At 39.3% G+C, this 20,145-nt stretch overlaps 1 long non-coding RNA gene across 3 annotated transcripts in view, besides 1 other annotated feature; it reads left to right on the top strand.

Moving 5' to 3' along the window:
- HCCS-DT (HCCS divergent transcript) overlaps positions 90–20,145 on the top strand; it is a 263,596-nt gene continuing 243,540 nt past the window's right edge. For 2 of the 3 annotated variants that reach the window (NR_186561.1, NR_186563.1), the window contains exons 1-2: positions 90–345; positions 4,238–4,327. This is a non-coding gene — a long non-coding RNA (HCCS divergent transcript). Of the gene's footprint in view, positions 346–4,237; positions 4,328–9,993; positions 10,598–20,145 lie in introns of all 3 variants that reach the window. The other variant, NR_186562.1, reaches the window with a different exon arrangement.
- Positions 7,925–8,124: an enhancer, noted in NCBI's record as "active region_29409". NCBI's record gives its function as "activates an Ori minimal core promoter by ATAC-STARR-seq in GM12878 lymphoblastoid cells {active_cell/tissue: GM12878}" and the evidence as "EXISTENCE:reporter gene assay evidence [ECO:0000049][PMID:35858748]".

Raw genomic sequence — 20,145 nt, 5'->3', positions numbered from 1 at the left:
TCACGGAGAGCGGGTTCCGTCCCCTCCTCGCCCCGGCCTGTAACTGCTGCGGGGGCCGCTTTCTGGGCCCGCCCCTCCAGGCCAGGAGCCTTTTTCAAAATGTGGCGGTGGCAGGGAAGGTTGTCTGCTCCAGAGGCTTCCCTAGAGTGAAGAGCTCTACTATGTATGCTTTATGCGGCAGAAGGAGTGCTTTGGAGGAGTTTTTAAATTTGTTTTTTTTTTAAATCTTATCGGTTTTAATTGTAGCAATGATTCAAGAAACGTTAGTAGGTGCCCATAACTTCGGTGGTGGAGATCCAAAAGTGAACAAGACAGTGTTCTGGCTGCTAAATTCTTCTTAACTGGGTATGTGATTTTGAATGTCTGTATTTTCATTTACCTCCAACAGAAATTTAGCATTTTCTTCCATCAGGGATGTAGGCAATAAATCCTAGTACTATTAGCTGTATGTGGCACTAATACACATTACAGATAAATTATGTCACATATGGTTGTTGTGCCTGTCTCAAAATATCATCCATCCACTACTTTGAAATTAAGGTAATTTGATCTTGTTACTTAAAGTGTTAATAAAGAAACATATATCTTTCTATATAACTATAGTGGCTCTGTGAAATACGTCCAGATGTCCCCTGGTGCAGAAAGTGTTGGGGGCTCACAGCTTTCAGCTGAGTCTCCAGGAATTGTCCTCTGCCTAAGAGAATTGCCTCACACAAAATCACTTCCCCTCCTTGGGGACGATCTGCATCCTATGAGGGTCTCTGCAAGGGCACATAAGTCCAGGCCCCTAGCCCCAAAGGGGACAACTCAGAAGGGCCATCCCAGCATCAGAACTGCCTACAGGATAGCCCAAGGATTCCATTTCAACTATCACAGCTCAACTTCTCTCTTTACCCACAATTCTTTTGTCCCTCCCACAATTCCTTTTCACTCCCGCAATTCTGTTTTGTTACCCACAGTTCTGTCTCCCACAATTCTCAGTTCTTTCCACAATCTTCTGTCTCTCCCACAATTCCTTATTTCTCCCACAATCCCATGTCACTCCCAAAATTCTATTCCTTCCCACAATTCATTTTTCTGTCCCACAATTCCTTGTCTTGCTCACAATTCTCTTGTTTCTCCCATGATTCCTTGTGTCTCCCACAATTCACTTTTCTGTCCCACAATTCCCTGTCTTGCCCGTAATTCTGTTGTTTTTCCCAAAATTTGCTGGGTTTCCCAGCAAGCCTTTATTCTTTCCTACAAATTCTTGTATCTCTCAAAATTCTGTTTCCCACAGTTCCATTCCTCCCACAGTTCTCTGTCTTTTCCATCATTCCCTATGACTCTGTCTGTCACAATTCCTCAAAATTATTCATTTCCACAATGTTCTGTTCATTCACAATACTCTGTTCTTATTCCCCAGTCTCTCCCATAATTCCCCATTATCTCTCATAATTCTGTTCTTTCACAATATTCTTTTTCATGATTTCCTTTCTCCCACAATTCTCCCTTCATTCTCATAATTATTCCGTCTCTCCCACAACACTGTATTCTCTCCCATGGTTCCCTGTATCTCCCAGAACTCTCTGTTCTCTCCCCCAATTTCCTGTCTCTCCCTGAGTTCTCTGTTCTCCCACAATTCCCTGTGTCTCCCATAATTCCATGTTTCTCCCCACAATTTTTGGTTTCCTCTCACAATTCTCTGTTCTCTCCCACAATTCCTTATCTCAACCATAATTCTGTATTCTATGCTACAATTTCCTATCTTTCCTATAATTCCCCATCTCCCCCACAATTCTTTGTTCTTTCGCAGAATTCTCCACTCTTACAATTCTCCATTCCCTCAAAATACTCCATGATTGTTCACAATTCCCCAGTCTCTCCCCTAACTCCCATTCTCTCTCATAATTCTGTTTTCTCACAATATTCTCGTTCACAATTTTCTATCCCACAAGTGTCCCTTTTCTCCCACAATTTTGTGTCTCTTCCACAATTTTTTGTTCTCTCCCACAATCCTGTGTCTCTCCCACAATTCTTTGTGCTGTCCTCTCCACAAATCTATGTCTCTCCCACAATTCTGCTCTCTCCCACAATTCTGTGTCATATGCTACAATTTCCTGTCTTTCTCATAATTCCACATCTCTCTCCTAATTCTTTCTTCTCTCTGATAATTCTTCACTTTCACTCACAGTCCTCCATTCTCTTAAAATTCTCCATCCTCATTTGCAATTCTGTAGTCTCTCCCCTAACTCCTTAGTCTCCCTCATCATTCTGTTCTCTCACAATACTCTATTCTCTTACACAATTTCCCATCTCTCCCACAATAATCTCTTCTCTTTCATAATTCTCCCTTCTCTCCCACAATTCCCCGTGTGTCCACAATTTTGTGTCACTCCCACAATTCTCTGTTTTTTCCTACAATTCCTGATGTCTTCCCCCTTTCTTTATTATCTCCCACAATTCCCTGTCTCACCTACAAGTCTCTGTTCTTTCCCATAATTCCTTGTCTTTCCCATAATTCCTCGTATCTCCTACAATTCTTTGCTCTGTCTCACAATTCTCCACTCTTGCACTTCTCCCTTATTACACAATATTCTGTTCTCTTTCACAGCTGCCTAGTCTGTCTCCCAATTCCACATTGTCTCTCACAATTCTCTGTTCTCTCATGATACTTTATTCTCTCCCGCAATTCTCCCTTCTCCCACAATTCCCTATCTCTCCTATCATTTTCTGTTCTCTACCACAATTCTCAGTTCCCTTTCACAATTTCTCAGAAGACCCAAGCCTGGTCCTGTAACTTCAGTGTTTCAGGGCCCAAGGGGAAGAACATGCCCAGATGAGTGGTATGTGATCAGGAGGAAGGGGTATGGTGGGAGGGTTTGTGGTTATAATGAGAGCAGGTGTCAGGAAAGGTGTGACTAAGGGGGAGCACAAAAGACCAATTATTTGTTTTTTTCTACAATTCCTGAGTTCTTCCACTTAATTCCGTATTATAGCACTTGACAAAAGATTTGCAGTTATGTATTTGAATGTGTAATTCTCTTACCTATGTATGGATTTTCTGAAGTTAAAAAATAGATCTTATTTGGCTTTATATCCGCTATATCAGCACAACTCAAAATGTGTCTTGCCAGTGGGGACCAGTTCACACACTGTTACCCTTCTAATATGAGATGAGGAGCTTTCACCACAAGGCAAGGCAAAGCATTGCTTGCCTCATCCAGAAAGTCTTACTATGAAAAATGTCTCATCTCAGATAAAATTGTGCTTAGTGGCATAGCAGATTTATATTATAGTACAAGATTCTTAATTCAGTGTTGGCCAATAACTAGCAGTTTCTGGACTGGCACTTGGGTAGCACTGCCCTATCATTACAGTGTAGTTTCTGTTGTATAATTGAGTGCTCACTGAAGCAGTCAGAAGCAGACACTGGAAGGGATCACAGAGTCAATGAATCTTGAATGAGTGATGTTTCACTCATTCAGCAATATTTATGGAGCACCTATGATGTGTCAGGTACTGTGGGAAGTGCTGAGAATTTAAAAGTGCTAGACAGACTCCTTGCTCTCAGGGAATTTACATTCTAGTAAATGAATAGATTGGACAACAAACAATCCAACACAAACAGATAAATAAATAATTTAAGATCCTGATAAAAGCCACCAATTAAATGACACAGGTAGTGTGACAAAGATTGAGGCATGGGGGTCTACCCACCCCTGTGGGTAGATGATCTGTGGAGCAGAAAATTTGTATTCCTCGGGAGCTTGTTAGAAATGCAGAATTTCAAGTCCCTCCCCAGAACCACTGAGTCAAAGTCTGTCTTGTAACATGATCCCCAGATGATCAGTGTGCACGATACAGATTGAGAGCTCAGGATACCTTCTCAGATATGGTTGTCAGCAAAGACCTCTCTGAGAAGGGTGACGTTTTAGCTGAGACCTGAATGTTGAGAAGGACCCAGCCATGTGAAGATCAATGCAAAGAGTGGTCCAGACAATGAGAATGCCATGGTAAAATGTTCTGAGATCAGAAAGAACAGGGAAAGACCAGTGTGGCCCACACAGAATGAGTTGGGGGCAGAATAGTAGGAGGTGATGTTGGGGCTGGATCATGCCATAGGCCATGAGGAGGAAGTGACATTTTCTTTTAATTGAAATGTGAAGCCATGGAAGGGTTTTTAAAAAGAAGAATTATTTGATCTGACAATAGAGATAGCTTGTTTTTCTCAACTTTGCTCTTCACCACTTTCTAGTTATGCCTGGAGACCTTCACTTGGTTCTGTGCCAGCACTGCCCATGAACTTCATAGACTGTGATCTTTGCTAAGGCCTAAATGAATGAAGGTAAGTTCCTAAGACATAGCCAGTAGACCCCCCACCAATAGGTCTGTGTTCCATGGAGTCTGCCAGCATTCATCACATGTGTACTCAGAGGGACCGTGTCTACATCAAAGGCCAGGGTTACCTCTTGCTCTTGGAAATAAACACTACTTTTCCTTAAAGGGATTTATTGCCAATAAAATTAGAGATGGCCAGAGGTTATCATTCTGTTTAATATTCTCACAACCATTGTAATAACTTTAGAGGATATATTATTATTAGTTGGTAAGTCCCAAGCTTTTTTGTGTTTTGATGAGAGTCGAGGGTTTCTTCACATAGACCTCTAAAAATTGAATTAATTGGCCAGGCGCAGTGGCTCATGCCTATAATCCCAGCACTTTGGGAGGCCAAGGCGGACAGATCACGAGGTCAGGAGTTCAAGACCAGCCTGGCCAACATAGTGAAACCCCATCTCTACTAAAAATACAACAATTAGCTGGGTGTGGTGGCACACACCTGTAGCCCCAGCTACTTGGGAGGCTGAGGCGGGAACATCTCTTGAACTCGGGAGGCAGAGGTTTCAGTGAGCCGAGACCATGCCATTGCACTCCAGCTTGGGTGACAGAGTGAAAATCTGTCTCAAAAGAAAAATTGAATTAATTAATTCACTGATTGTGGATGACTACCTTATATGAGGAATCACTCCCGGTTTCTTATAGGAACCCTTGTTTCATGTCTCCAGATGTACACTCCCAGTTTCTTATGGAACCTTTGTTTCATGTCTCCAGATGCATGCAGGGCATTGCTTTTTGAGAAAGTTTCTTTAATTTATAGCTGTACTTATTTAAGACTGGACTTTCCTTGATACCTGCCAAGGTGGTCTGAGTGGGCACTAATGGGCCTGCAATTAGGTCAATTCAGAAAACTTAAGGCTATTCTTTGGTGAATGCCAACAGGGAGGTTGCCCAGCCTCTTCTCATGCTGGGAAATTCAGCAGGTATGAGATTTGATAGGAGACAGGGCCCTGATTCCCTCTATGGCGGTGCTTCTCAACTAAAGCTGATTTTGCTGTCCCTATCCTGGGGGTATTTGACAATATCTGGAGACATTTTTGATTGTCACACTGAGGGTAGTGGTTGCTACTGAAATCAAGTGGATAGAAGTCTGGCATTCTGCTAAGCATCCTACAAGGCAAAGGCCAACTCTAGTAACAAAGAATTATCTGGCCCCAAATGTCAATAATATTAAAGTGGAGGGACCCTATTCTTGGAAAACCAAAGGCCAGAAACTTCCTCTGCTTGATACCTGGCAGCTAGAGCATGGGCTTCTACTTTCTCAGCTTGCTCAATATATGTATATATACACACATGCAAACATACTGGCATGTAGTGTGCATTATGTAACTACACTGGGACTATTTAACTCATTGCCCCTTCTTTCTACCTACCCCAAACCAACACACACAATCATTCAGAAGCAGAAATGGGGGCGGGGACTCGCTATTTTCGAGTGGTGAAAACTGTTATTATTATTGAAGTTATTATGATTAAGTTGCTGATCCAGTTGTTGCCACAAGTGGGCCTTTATGAGTCACTAGATTTAACATGATGTGCCAAAAAAGATGGGAATAGCACTGGTAAGAATGGGTGAAGTGAACATTGCTTTGGGGAGGAGCTCTGGAGAGCCATGTGAATCACCACCCACACAGGCAGGAGAGATATCAGTATAGTCTTGCCTAGAGGAGTGAGGAATTTCATGTTTTCTTCCCTATGGAAATAATTAGTAGTGGATTTGGTTACCAATGGTAGAGAGAAATGGGGAAACCACGGGGTTATGTTAATGAAATTTCCAGTGGGTATTGGATTTGCCCTCCAATTTTTAAAGCATAAACTGTAACCAAAGACCTTCTGACATATTATTCTTTTAAAAAGGAGGAGCATGGTAGATTACAGTTGTTTGAAATTACCACCTTACTGCATAAAGAGAAAGCTAAGGTGAAGTAAATAAGAAGACAGGAGTAAAAAAATGGCTGCTGATTTTGAGAAATATTTAGGGTTAGGGGCAAGATGAGTTCAGGTTAGACACATTGCACTTGAGATGATAATGGTTATCTAGGCAGTGAAATCCCAGAAGCGGTTCAGAACACAGAATTAGAACTCAGGAAAGAGCTGGTTGCAGATAAAGAAATGTAAATTATCAGGTTTGGTTGGATGTTAAGACATAAGAATGGATGGTAAAATCCTTCAAGGCTTTGGTTTTCTTTGCTCTCATTCCAAATTTACCAAAGAACTTTGCGACTTTAGTTTGGCTTTCCTATTAGGAAGAGAATGCATCACTAGCCAACCTAAATTTCTTCCTCCTTGGCAGTCTTATTTTTTTATTCTAAACATTGTGAATTAATGACTTGGAGAAAATAGGAGTAATGGAAGGAAAATCAATAAGGCAAGGCATGAGTAGCTTTAAAGGAAGGAAGGGAAGGCTCTTTGAGTGGTTTGGACTCATTGTAAAGTGGGATTGAAAGATTAAACCCGCAAAAGACAAGTTGACAAACCATCCTCTACCACCACCACATGAAATGCAGTTTTCCAAGAAATGTGCTTTGAGGGACCCCATTTTTAAAACACAAGTAGTAGCATACTTTATATAGGGATTTAACTGTTGTTCTTCACCTAAAATATCTTGGAGGTTTTCCATATCCATCTTTCTTTTTATTTAACAGATTCAAGAATTAAAATGTAAATTTTCATATCAGTACATACAGTGTTCCATTTTGTTTTTATTTAGGACATGTACACTATTCCATCATATAGATTAATACAGTTTATGTAACTGGTCCCTTACTAATCAACTAAATTGATGTTATATCCAATACTTTCCTATTACGACAATACTACAATGAGTAATATTGTGCTTACATCATTTCTCACACTGTGTGAGCATATCTTTGTAATACCTAGAATTAAAATGACTGGGTCAAAGGGAATGTGCTTTTAAAACTTTGATAGTCACTTCTAAATGACCCGAGATAGGTGGTTGTACCCCTTGTAGCTTCCCTCAGGAGTGGATGAGAGTGCCTGTTTTTCCACACCTTCATCAACACAGTGTATTGCTTTTTTTAAAAATTGATTTGTAGACATTCTTTATAAGGAAATTAACCTTTCTTCTACACTATGAGGTTGGAATATTTTCTAAAATTATCTTTTTTTGTTTTTGCTTCTGCTAAGTTTTGCTTTGAGTAGTTTTTATGGATCTTAATTTTATAATCTTCTATGATTTCTGGATGTTGTGGCATAATTAAAAATATTTTAAGTCCTAAATTCTCCCAAGTTTCTTCAATTAAAAAAATTACACTTTTTCCTTTAAACCATTTATATATTTGAAACTTATCCTGGTGAAAGGAATAAGGTATAGCTGTGCTATGGTATGAATATGACTTGTTTGTCCCCATCAAAGCTAATTTTGAAATTTGATCTGCAGTGTGGCAGTGCTGGGAGCTGGGGCCTAATGGAAGATGTCTGGGTCATGGGGTAAATCCTTCATGAATGACTTGGTGACTTTCTAATGGTAGTGGGTTCTCACTCTCACAAGACTGGATTAATTCTCGGGAATGGATTGGTTCCGGCAAGAGCAGGATTGTTACAAAGTGAGGATCCCCCTCATGTTTACTCTCTCTTCACATGTGCCTGGTTTGCCTTTGACTTTCTCTGCTGACTCAACATGAAAGCCCTCACCAGAAGCTGAGAAGATGCCGGTTCCATGCTTCTTGAACAGCCTATAGAACTCTAAGCCAAACAAACCTCTTTTCTTTATAAACTACCCAGCCTCAGGTATTTTGTTGTAGTAACACAAAATGGACTAAAGACAAGCTCCAATGACTACATCCATTTTATACTCTCCTATGTTTTGGATTCTCTTGTCTTTAGTCTTAATGTTTGTGTGTTTATTTTGGATTTTCCAGGGATTATTTCATATAATCTCAACTAATAATGATTTTACTTCCTCCCGTCCAACTTTAATGCCTCTAATTTCTTTTGTTTTTTTTTTTTTTTTTTTGAGACGAAGTCTCGCTCTTGTTGCCCAGGCTGGAGTGCAATGGCATGATCTCGGCTCGCTGCAACCTCCACCTCCCAAGTTCAAGTGATCCTCCTACCTCAGCCTCCCAAGTAGGTAGGATTACAGGCACCTGCCACCATGCCCGGCTAATTTTTGTATTTTTTTTTTTTTTTTCAGTAGAGATGGGGTTTCACCATGTTGGCCAGGCTGGTCTCAAACTCCTGACCTCAGGCGATCCGCCCACCTCGGCCTCTCAAAGTGCTGGGATTACAGGCGTGAGCCCCTGCGCCTGGCCTCATGCCTCTAATTTCTTTCTCCTGCATAGGCTAAGACTTTCCAGCAAAACGTTAAATAAAAGTGGCAGTAGACATTCCTAATTTTTGTGGAAAAGTGTCTAGTGTCTATCCATTAAGCATTTTGCGAACTTTTAGATTGGCATAAAGTTTTTTGTCATGTTTAAGAAGTATCCATATATCTCTATTTTGTTATGAGTGTTTTACAAAATCAGCAAGTAATTTAGTGAATGGGTTTTCATAGAAGATGATAAAGGGGCAGAGTTTCCCCTCTAGGTCAATGTAAACTGAGCCAGCACAAGCAGAGAGAGGAGTCCAGAGGCAGAAGTGACCATAGGAGCCTAAGTCCCTGAGGAGTAACATATAACTCAGGGAAACTTGATATTCCATGGACCATGGACTGGGAGATTCAAGTGAATAAGACCTTGGGGTCCAGGAGATGGGGAGGCCAGGCCTAACTGACAGAGGCTTATACTTTAAGGGTGAATTTATTAAACAAATATTATACAAAATACAATGAGCTGATAATAAAACATTCTTTGTTCTTAAATTTATATATGTGTGCTTGTGTGTACTAATACTGAGGCCCTTAAACCACTAAGATTTAGGATTCTTAAACAAAACAGATTAGGTAAAGTTTGCCTTCCAAAGCCAAGGGGAGAGGGGTGGCCAGGGAAGGAGAATGTTCTGGCTGGAAAGGAGACAAATTCTGAGTAAAGGAAGCTGAAGGACAAACACTTCTACTCAGGATTTAGCATTGGCAGGACTGTTTGGTGTGTAGGAATTTAGAACTGGGTCAGTATTATTTAAAGGACTACAAACCTGGTTTTAAATTTAAAAGGGGTGTGGGGGTGGAGCATGGCAGGTGGTGAACCAAAGGAATTTACTATGATCTGAAAAATAAGCTTAAGTACTAACTCCACTGTGGGCAGGGAGGCAAGAACCTTCCCTTTTTTGAGTTGAAGATAAGCCTCTTCAGTCTAAACTTTCCTAAATTCCACTTCTTCTTTTTCTATAAAACAAGGTGAAGTACTTTATGCTAGCTATCAAAAATCATTGACTGTATGTTGCATGAATTTATGAATTTATTATGCTAGAAAAGTGTTTCTTGGCTACTTCATATGTATATAAGCTTTCTCCCTCAACACAGTTTCTGCTTTTTATTTTTGGAATCTCACATAGCCTATATCTTGTTTTCAGAGTAGATACTATCACTGTGGGTGGCTGAGTTCTCATCTATATGCAACCAAGGCTAACTGGCTCTCTAGGTTACCTTGATGCCACCCACTGAGAGTCCTTTCTGGATTTAGTGATTTAGTGCTGCTTATTTTCACCTTCTCTCAGGATGGAGCCTCAGAATAGAGACCAGGTTGAAAATCAGTCTTTTACTTAGAACCATGAAAGCAGATACTACATCTTATCCGTCTATGACCTGGTGACCCAGAAGCCATTAATTTGACATTACCAACATACCTCCACACAAAGACTTTATAATCTTCAGTGTGAGAATTAAACAAACAAACAAACAAAAACTTAAAACAACTTTGGAGGGGAGAACGATAACCTAAATTTTAAGCATAAGAAAATCCCTAACAAAAAGATCCAACTAATTGCCACTGGGGGGCGATGGAAGTTCGTGAACTGCTCTGCTAATCCCTGAGGCAACTGAGCACTTTAGTTGGTTTATTTATTCAAAGCTGGAATTTGGACGTGTGACCCATCAAGCTCAGGGAAATTCCTGGATGAGGAACACAGTCCTGGGAGAAACCTACCAAAGATGGAATTAGCACCTTGGCGAACCGCCTTCAGCGCAAAGAACTTTCTTTCCTTGTGTGTCTTAAGAATTTACTTCAGTTCCCTTCTGTCTGAAGCAGAGGAAGCCAAGTTAAACTGTGAATAAGCACGACAACAAAGAAGAGTTCTTATTTATCACTACCTGCAAACACATGTAAGTGCACAGTTTAAACAGCATTCAGACATCTCACAGCCACTAGGATCAGAGTTTTGGTGTGAGTAGGCCTCAGTTGGTAACTTTCCTGAGGAAAGGAGGGAGGTTATAGAATTTATGTTAGGAAATTCTGAGTCATAGATAACACTTTAAGTGACAGTTAAGGAATCTAGTGAGAGGGACTTTGGACAGGTTTAGAAAAGTACCCTATGGAAACAAAGGAGGAAAAAAAAAGTATCTTCACTGCAAGAGTAATATTGCAGCCACTTGGTGGCGTGTTGTGGGCTTTATTTCTCCTTCCAGATTCCCTCGGTGGTGTCTGGAACCACTGGTAGGATAGGGGTCCTGGCACCAGACTTTGGCCAGCCCAGTCATCAGGCAATATCAATGTTAGGGGTCCCGTTGCTACTTCTACTTGGTCTTTTTTCCCTTCCCAAGATTGCCAATAAAGTGTCATCAGCAGCCGGGTGTGGTGGCTCATGCCCGCAATCCCAGCACTTTGGGAGGCTGAGGTGGGCAGATCACCTGAGGTCAGGAGTTCAAGATCAGCCTGGGCAAAATGGTGAAATCCCATCTCTACTAAAAAAAAAAAAAAAAAAATTAGCCAGGCGTGGTGGCATGCACCTGTAATCCCAGCTACTCGGGAGGCTGAGGTAGGAGACTCGCTTGAACCCAGGAGGTGGAGGTTGCAGTGAGCTGAGATAGCACCTCTGTACTCCAGCCTGGGTGACAGAGCGAGACTCCATCTCAAAAAAAAAAGTGTCATCAGCACAAGAATTTGTCCTGCTTCCACTCCAGGAAGGGCCAAAGGGGACAAAGAGATATGGAACTTAAAAAGCAAGTCTAGAATGCACTTTTGTGCATAAGACATAAATATATCCATGAAATCATGTTGCATCCCCTGTGTAACAGGCTCTCCATTTCAAAAGCCCTCCAACTTGGCATAGGGATGACCTAAGGGCTCTAAGATTGCAGCTAAGATAAGGACCCATGGATCCCAATGCTCAGTGCCCTATGTCCTCTGGAAGTTGCTGACACATGTTTCTGAGGGACACTCAGAAAACCTGGAAGCATGTTATATTAGTGAGCACATTTTGGATTTTGAGTGAGAAGTCCAGCTTGAGTTAACTTAAGCAGAAAAAGAAATTTTGGGATCACACTCTTAGGAAGTCTGGGGTGGGTAAAGCCTCAGGAAGGGCTGGATCCAGTCATTCTGCCTCTATCTCTTGGCCTGATGCCACTTAGTTTGAAGGCCTCTCTCCTAACTTCTTTAACATTTGGGGGAATTTGCTCTGACTGGGTCACATTCTTTCCCCTGAATCAATTACTGTGTCTGGGGAGGTGAGGCAATATGATTGGCTAGGTCTGGTGTGTTGTGATTGACAGCCCACCTGGGACCACCTGAAATGGGGGAGAGGATGTTCCTCAGAGGAAATGATGCTGAACAGACAAAAGCAGCATGAATCTCCAGGCAAATCATTTGTCTGTATGGACAGGAAGATCAACAAGCTGGAAACAGGAAGTAATCCATTAGCCAATAGTAAAATTAATCCCAATTGCTGTTTTGCTTCCTTAGATTCTAACATAGGCCTAATGAAAAAGCTCTGGATTCTTGTGTAAATAATTTGGGAAATGCCTCTACTAATTCAAAGAGGATCTTGGAACTGTTTTCTATTGACAAATGTCCATAAAGAGGAACCTGAGTTGTATTCACTTGCTTCTTTTATTCCTACAATAAGGAAAGCACCAGGAGTTCAATATTGAATGCTGAAATGAAAAGGAAACATTCTGTTTAATAATGAAAAGTACCAACAATTGCATTTGGGGCTAAAAGTCCCAAAATTATCCCTAGAAACCTCTTAAGGTCTACATATTATTTGCAAGGCTCCCTAATGCAAATGATCTGCTTTCTAAGTCAATCTTAGTCATATAAAACACATGCCGCAACATAAAACATAAACCAAAACAAAATAAAATTTCAAGAAACCGAGGGCCAAAAATAGCTATAGTCAACTGCTGATAAGGTGTGAATGGAAACCATGGGACATTCTGGTCTGAATGACAATTGTTCTTGATCTTCGAGGCTGAGAGGATTGTAGGAAGCCATTGTGCAGATGGGATGACTTACCTAGGCCACAGGCTGGCAGCCATATCCACACACCATTCCGAGCCTAGGAGAAAAGCCCTGGGCCCAGAGATGAGGTGCCCTGGAAAGGGCACCCTTTGGAGTCGTAGAGCTCCAACTCTGGGCTCTCTGACTGTCAGCTGTGTGATGTGGATATCACGTCATCTCTCAGAGCCTCCACTGCTTCATTGGTGAAGTGACAGGAACACTGACTTTATGGCATTATGTCATGGAGAAAATGAACACTCATATATTGATCTAACTCAGGAGTCAGAACATTTATTCTGTGAAGGGCCAGAGAGTAAATATTTTGGGCTTTGTAGGCCATAGACTCCATGGCAACTACTGAACTCTACATGAAAGCAGCCACAGACAATGTGTAAATGAATGGATGTGGCTGTGCTCCAATGAAAGTTTATTTACAACCTGAAGGTGGCCCTCAACTTTGGCCCAAAGGCCATAGTTTTCTGACCCCTGGTTTAATGGTTAGTTCCTCCCTGTTCCATAAGTGTTAGCTCCTCCTTGCTCATCCTGGTAACCCTTCTGCCTGTTGTCAGAGAACATTCTGGTGATAGGCTGGATTGTGTTCCCCCAAATTCATATGTTGAAAGGCCTCACCCTTAATGTGACTGTATTGGAGATAGGGCCTTTAAAGAGGTAATTAAGGTCAAATCAGGTCATTAAGAGTGGGGCCCTAATCTGATAGGACTGGTGAGGACTGGTGTCCTTATAAGAGGAATAGACACCAGGGCTTGTAACTCGCTCTCTCCATACCCAAAGGACCATGGAGAGCACAGTGATCTGAGGAAAGAGGGCTCACCAGAAACCAAAACCACTTGCACCTTGATCTTGGACTTTCAGCCTCCAGAACTGTGAGAGAATTCAAGTCTGTTTTTTAAATCACTGTCTGTGGGATTTTTTTTATGGCAGCCCCGGAAGAATAATATAATCCCCTGTGAATTAGCTGGGTAAACGATGATGCCACCTTAAATTCCTTCCTTCTTTTAAAAAACATCTTTTTATAAAAATAATCTTTTCATATAAAAATTTTATATCTCTTTTATATAAAGCTTTATATTTTATATCTCTTGTTATAGTGGAGGTAAAAGCATCTGCCCTGCTTATGTAACAAAATTTTTGTGAGGCTTAAATTGACTAGAAAACACGAGGTGTGATATAGCACAAGTAATTACCAAGACATTTCTGTTTCAGCCATGTCACCCATATTTGCAAATGTAAGCTAGAACGTAAGAGAGCAAATCTGGACCCAAATGTTGAAGTCTTTTCTTTCCCTAAAGTAAATTACTTGGTCAGTAGAGTGGGGTTGGTATTTGTTTGCTTTTCTTTTTTTGAAAGGTGGGGAGCTACGAGGAAGCTAGGAGAAGAAAACATGTATAAAAAGGACTCTGGATCCAGTCCAGAGTGTTTGCCTCTGCCCTTTGATGTCCAATGGAATCGTTTCATTCAGTGTAGTAAATTCAGATAAAATTTCCATGCTATGTTAGGTGCTGTGTTGGGTATGGTGGATAAAGAAGTGACAAAGACAAAGTCTCTGCCTCCAAGGAGCTTATATTCTGGGGCAGAGATAGGAGACGTTGGGCTCAAAGCAGAGAACAGATGAATGAATAAAATAAGTACAGAATTTGAATAATGCCAGAAAGAAAGCCAATCAGAAGTAACATGGTTGAGGGTCTTCATGCCCATTCATCTTGCCTTTTGTCCTCTTCTCTCAACTCTGATGTCCAAGTGTTTCAAGCTCATAGTTCCTCCTAAAGATGTTGAATCAAGATGATGTTCTTCTTGTTAGCATCATTTCTAATGTACAATTCACAAAATTAGTAACAACAATTGTTAACTGTGTACTTCTGGCCTGGACACTACTATGCTAGACACTTTTTTGGGGGTAGTAAGCTTTTAAATTCAGAATAGTTTTAGATTTATAGAAAAGTCACAGAGATATACAGAGAGTTTCCATTCACCCTACCCCCATTTTGTTCTTTTATTGACACCTTATATTAGTATGGTACATTTGTCACAAGAAATAAACCAATTTTGATACAATAATATTAACCAACACCCAAGATTTATTCAGATTTCCTTAGTTTTTATCTAATATACATTTTCTGGTTCAGGATCTCATCTAGGATTCCACATTACATTTGATTATCATGTCTCTTTGGGCTCTTCTTGGCTGTGACAATTTCTCAGACTTTCCCTCTTTTTGATGACCTTGACAGCTTTGAAGAGTGCTGGTCAGGTATGTTGTAGAATGTCCCTCAGCTGGGATTCATCTGATGTAGTGCATTATTTCTCATTCTCATCCTTAGCCTTCAGTGTAAGTATAAATTATTCATCTTTTATAGATGAAAACACTGAGATCCAGAGAGGTTGAGGAACTTCCTGAAAGTTACACAGCTAGCAAATGGCAGAAGCTGTGATTCAAACTCAGTGTTGACATGACTTCAAGCCACATACTTACTTTGCCTCCCTGGTCTCAATCTGCTAAATTTCTGACAATGGAATTGTTCTCATCAAGGCTATCAGGGTGATCTCTTTATAGTTCTTTCATACACTTTAAAGCAATTTGATGACATGCTTAATTATATTAGAACAATTTCCACAATCAGTTGTTTGCTGAACTGGTTATTTGTATAACTTCGTTGGTTGTGTTCCTAGGACAGTTGGTTAATCCAGAAAGAGTATCACTGAAAAAGTATTTGAGAGCCTGTGTTTCTAGAAGTAGTTCTCAAACTGTGCTCAGAAGTAACACCTGGACTGCTTGTTAGTAATGCACTTCCCTGGGTTAGGGTGATCCACTGCCCCTCTTTGCCCAGGACCGAGCAATTCCCAGAAAAGTCCCAGGCAAATCAGGACACTTGGTCACCCTACCACAGAACTCCTGTGACTCACTAAGGCCCAGCAATCTGCTTTTGAACAAACTATCAAGGAGATTATTCTAAATGCACAGAAGTCTAAGATCCACTACATTAGATATAGAAATGAACTGCTGAAATAACTGGTGGCCAGTTTCTGAAGATATTAAAGAACATTGATTTTCATCTGGTTGGGTATATTTAACTCTGCCTGAAGTTGAAGGAGAATAATATCACCCAAACTTCCAGCCTTTTGATCTTAAGAAATGGTACTACTTTCCCAGCTCTATATTTTAGTTGAAGAATGATGGGAGTTCCCAAAAGATATAAAGACTTTATGAGGCCATTATTTATTAGTCAGAATTAATGAATCTGTTATTAATCCAGGGTGGTGGTTCTCAAACTTTGGAAGCTCAATGGAATCACCAGGAAGAGTTTAAAAATCCCAATGCTCAGTTCAACCCCAGACCAATTTTACCAGAATATCTGGGAGTGGGAGCCAGGCACTAATTTTACATTTGAGAACCATGGATCGAAAGGAATGCTGTCCAGTAGAAATAGAATGTGAGCTGCAGTTTCCTAGTAGTCACATTTGAAAAGTAAAAGACAAGCACATGAATTTTAAGAACATATTTAATGTAACCCAACATATCTGAAATTTTATCATTTTAACCTGTAATCATAAAATTTTCAATGACATGTTTTACGTAAATGTTTTTATACTAAGTCTTTGAAATCTGGTGTGTATTTTATGCTTACTTCTTAATTTGGATGCTATATTTTCACCAGAAATACTTATCTATATTTAGATTCGTGTACCTAAGTTGTTTCAAACGTATTGAAAAGTATTCCAATAACTGAATTGAGTATGAGTTTTTAAATTTTAATTCATTAAATTTTTACAATGCAATCTCTCAGTCTCAATAAGTACATTTCAATAGCTGAACAGATACATGTGGCTAGTAACTTTGGTAATGGACAGCACATATCCAGGGCAGCACTTCTCAAACTTTAATTTGGACACATAAATTAGGCAATCTGGTAAAAACTTGGGTTCTGTTCTGAGAGGTGTGGGGTGGTTCTAACTAGGTGCCAGATGATACTGTTGCTGCTGAGCCAGAGACAACATTTTGAGTGGCAAGGATCTGGGAGTAATGTTGAATGATGGCTACTTCCACTCTGATTTCTCCACTTGCTCAGTGCTAATGTCTTATTTCAAAGGCTCAACATGAAAACAATAAGCCTTTCCTTTTTGGTTAGGAAATGTGTGTGTGTGTGAATATATATACATATATTACACATATGTATAAATGCATGCGCATATACACAAGTATGTGTGTATCCATGTACATGTATGTCTGAACTTGTCTGGAAGCATAAGCTAGCTCTGCAAATGTAAAGAGCACTTCAGTACCTCATATATTATGTGTCTTCATTTTATTTTAAATTCAGTGTACACTTCTTTGGTTCACTGGAACTGAACAACAGCTGAATGTTTAACCTTGATGTAAGTCTCTATATTCATTTATTTGCTTTTTAAAATGAATTAAGTAGGTTCCTGCATTGTGTTTCAATATTTGAAGGTATTTAAAAAGTATTTGATGACCCAGGCTCTGGTTTTGTGTACAGTGCAGAGTAAATCCCAGTTTCATTTGTATGTGGAAATTTTTAGCTCCAGTACTTGTATTTCTTTCTATAGATGCTTTTTCATTGTTCTTTAGACATCAGTATGGATAGGAATTGCTTCTGGAGTGCTGTTTCAATGTTTATTCAATTATTCAGTTGATTCAATTCAATTGGTTCCTCTGAGCCAAAGCTGATTTAACTCCTGGGCCAGTATCTAAAAAATAAAGAAACCCCCAAAACCTAAAATTGACTGAGTTCTTTTTGAGGATTTATAATCTGAGAAAGTTATTCGAGCATAAACAGGAACCAAAATCATAATGAAATTGGAGAAATTGATCATGCAGCCCTCTTATTTTTTACTTTCTTTTAGGGGACAATTTTTTTGGAGGGAAGTCACCACTGTATTTAGCAGTTGTTGAAATCACACGAAGGAGTGAAGGATATAGCTATTCAAAACTTTTGGAAAGGCCAGGCACGGAGGCTCACACCTATAATCCCAGCGTTTTGGGAGGCTGAGACGGGCAGATCACCTGAGGTGAGGAGTTCAAGACCAGCCTGGCCAACATGGTGAAACCGTCTCTACTAAAAATACAAAAATTAGTTGGGTGTGGTGGCGGCCTCCTGTAATCCCAGCTACTCGGGAGGTTGAGGCAGGAGAATGGCTTGAGCCTGGGAGGTGGAGGTTTCAGTGAGCCGAGATCACGCCACTGCACTCTAGCCTGGGTGACTGAGCAGGACTCTGTCTCCAAAAAAAAAAAAAAAACAACAACAATGGAAAAAAACAAACAAAAAAACTTTTGGAAAAAAATCGGGATAACTCATTAAAATTAAAGGAAATAAAATGAAAGATAGCAGTTGGGTGTATCAAGGCAGGATTTAAAGGAAAAATATTAATTTTTACTTTAATCAATTTTTAGCTATTTTATCTATTATCAGTCATGTGAAGTGGGAAAATTATATTTCTTTTTCTTTATGAGACAATATTTATTCTGTTTATGATTATGTATCCCAATAAATATAAGTCCCAGCATCATCCATGAAAATGGCTACTGATTCAAAAGCTTGATTCCTTGGGCTAGACACTGGAAGACTCAAAAGTCCCAAAGGAAATCAATATTCTCTTTGTTTTATTTATTTTGTTTTAACCTCATGGGTATCTATAGGTGAAGTTTGGCATATAATATATTTTTTATTTCTTGTGAACCAAACTTCATTTAATAATAGATAATAACAATAGCTAACATTCATTGATTAAAATGTGTTAGGGCCTTATTAATTACTTTATATTAATTTTTATTTAATTATCGTAACAACCTGATGATATAGGTACGGTTAAAGTATAATTTTTAACAAGTTAAAAACATGAATGTCATATACATACGGAATGAAAACATTCCAAACAGTCATTTAACTCATTAATGATTGGAACCATTACAAAATTAAACTAATTCCAAGAGCATTTTGAGGAATCTGGTATTTATAGACATTTTGAGGGAAAAAAAAGTGTTGAATAAGATTTTGAGGCTACATTTAAAACTGGTTAATATCCTTCAAAGCAATAAAACCACAGTATTTGATGTTATCTTTTCTATTGGATAGAAATTTATGAATTAACGTAACTTCAGTCATCTAAATTCTAACCAAATAGAAAATAGAAAGTCAAACACAGGTACATTCCCTAGATAATGAAGTAACTTTTAGCACCAGTCAGTGCTCTGGTAAAATTTTGAAAGGTCATGCCGCACCCTTTTAACCTTATTCAACTTTTAGATAATTTTTCTTGATAAAATTATAATTGTGTACATTTTACCAATGAGGAAATTGATGCTTAGAGATATTAAATAACATGATAAGGGAATCACAGTAAGGGTAGAGCAAAAGTGGAACCCAGGTCCTTCTGATACTTTAATCCACTGTCTTATACCAGTTGAAAGCCATTTTTATCTGTCCTATAAAATTCTTTGTGTGTGTGTGTGTATTCAACATTACTTAAAATAAATGGAATCAATATTTGAGATTGAAAAACCTGTATTATATGAAAATTTTTATTATGATGGTATCAGTTGCAGTGAGATTTGTCCTATCAAGGATTTTGTTCTGTTTTGTTTACATGTACATACATGCTTACAATGGTGGAATGATGCATTCTTTGCAAGCAAACCAGACCCCAACTAATGGTGGGTAAAGGACTCAGAGTTAGAAGTTATGCCGAAGATAGACTATAACAGGATATAGTTATGCCGAAGATAGACTATAACAGGGCTAAAAAATGAAGGAGGGAGACAGACTTTGACAGCAATGATCTGAAGAGCCTTGATGGAAGAAAGCTGAGAAGGAAAAAACTACAAACACTGAAATGTACTTAACTCTCACCTTTTCAGTTTGAAGCTGTTCATAGTGAACTCAGCCTGTGTTCTAAATAAACAGACACCAAAAAAATCATGTGGGAGCTAGAATGTTGACTCTGGGGATTCTGAATATTGAGCTGATTTATAGTATTCCAACTCTTTGATAAATGTCTAAAATGTTTCAATACTTAGGCTATCTATGATTTATTTGTATTTGATATTAGCTTTATGATGATATTGTTTATAAATCAGCATGGATTTTGTGTGAGTTATTACAAGAAAAGTTTACTCTTCTGATTAATTAAGGAAAGAACCACCTAACTTTGTGAAACTTCTGACTAATCAACATTTGAAATGTGTTTGTTGGCATGGTTTTCTAAAATAGGGAGTATAATAAAGTAGGTTAAAAGAATGTTGTATAGTGAAGGTCCCCAAGAGATTGACCTAATTTATTTATTGTTTAAAACAAAACAAACAGAACAAAACTAAAAATGATGGACTTGTACTTCAGACTAGTATAGAATAACAAGGTCCAGATTTACCCTCTTACCTGAAATAACACAAAAAAAACTACAC

The sequence above is a fragment of the Homo sapiens genome, chromosome X (genome assembly GCF_000001405.40).
Source record: "Homo sapiens chromosome X, GRCh38.p14 Primary Assembly".
Classification (NCBI taxonomy): domain Eukaryota; kingdom Metazoa; phylum Chordata; class Mammalia; order Primates; family Hominidae; genus Homo; species Homo sapiens.
This window is presented reverse-complemented; position numbering and strand designations above follow the sequence as displayed.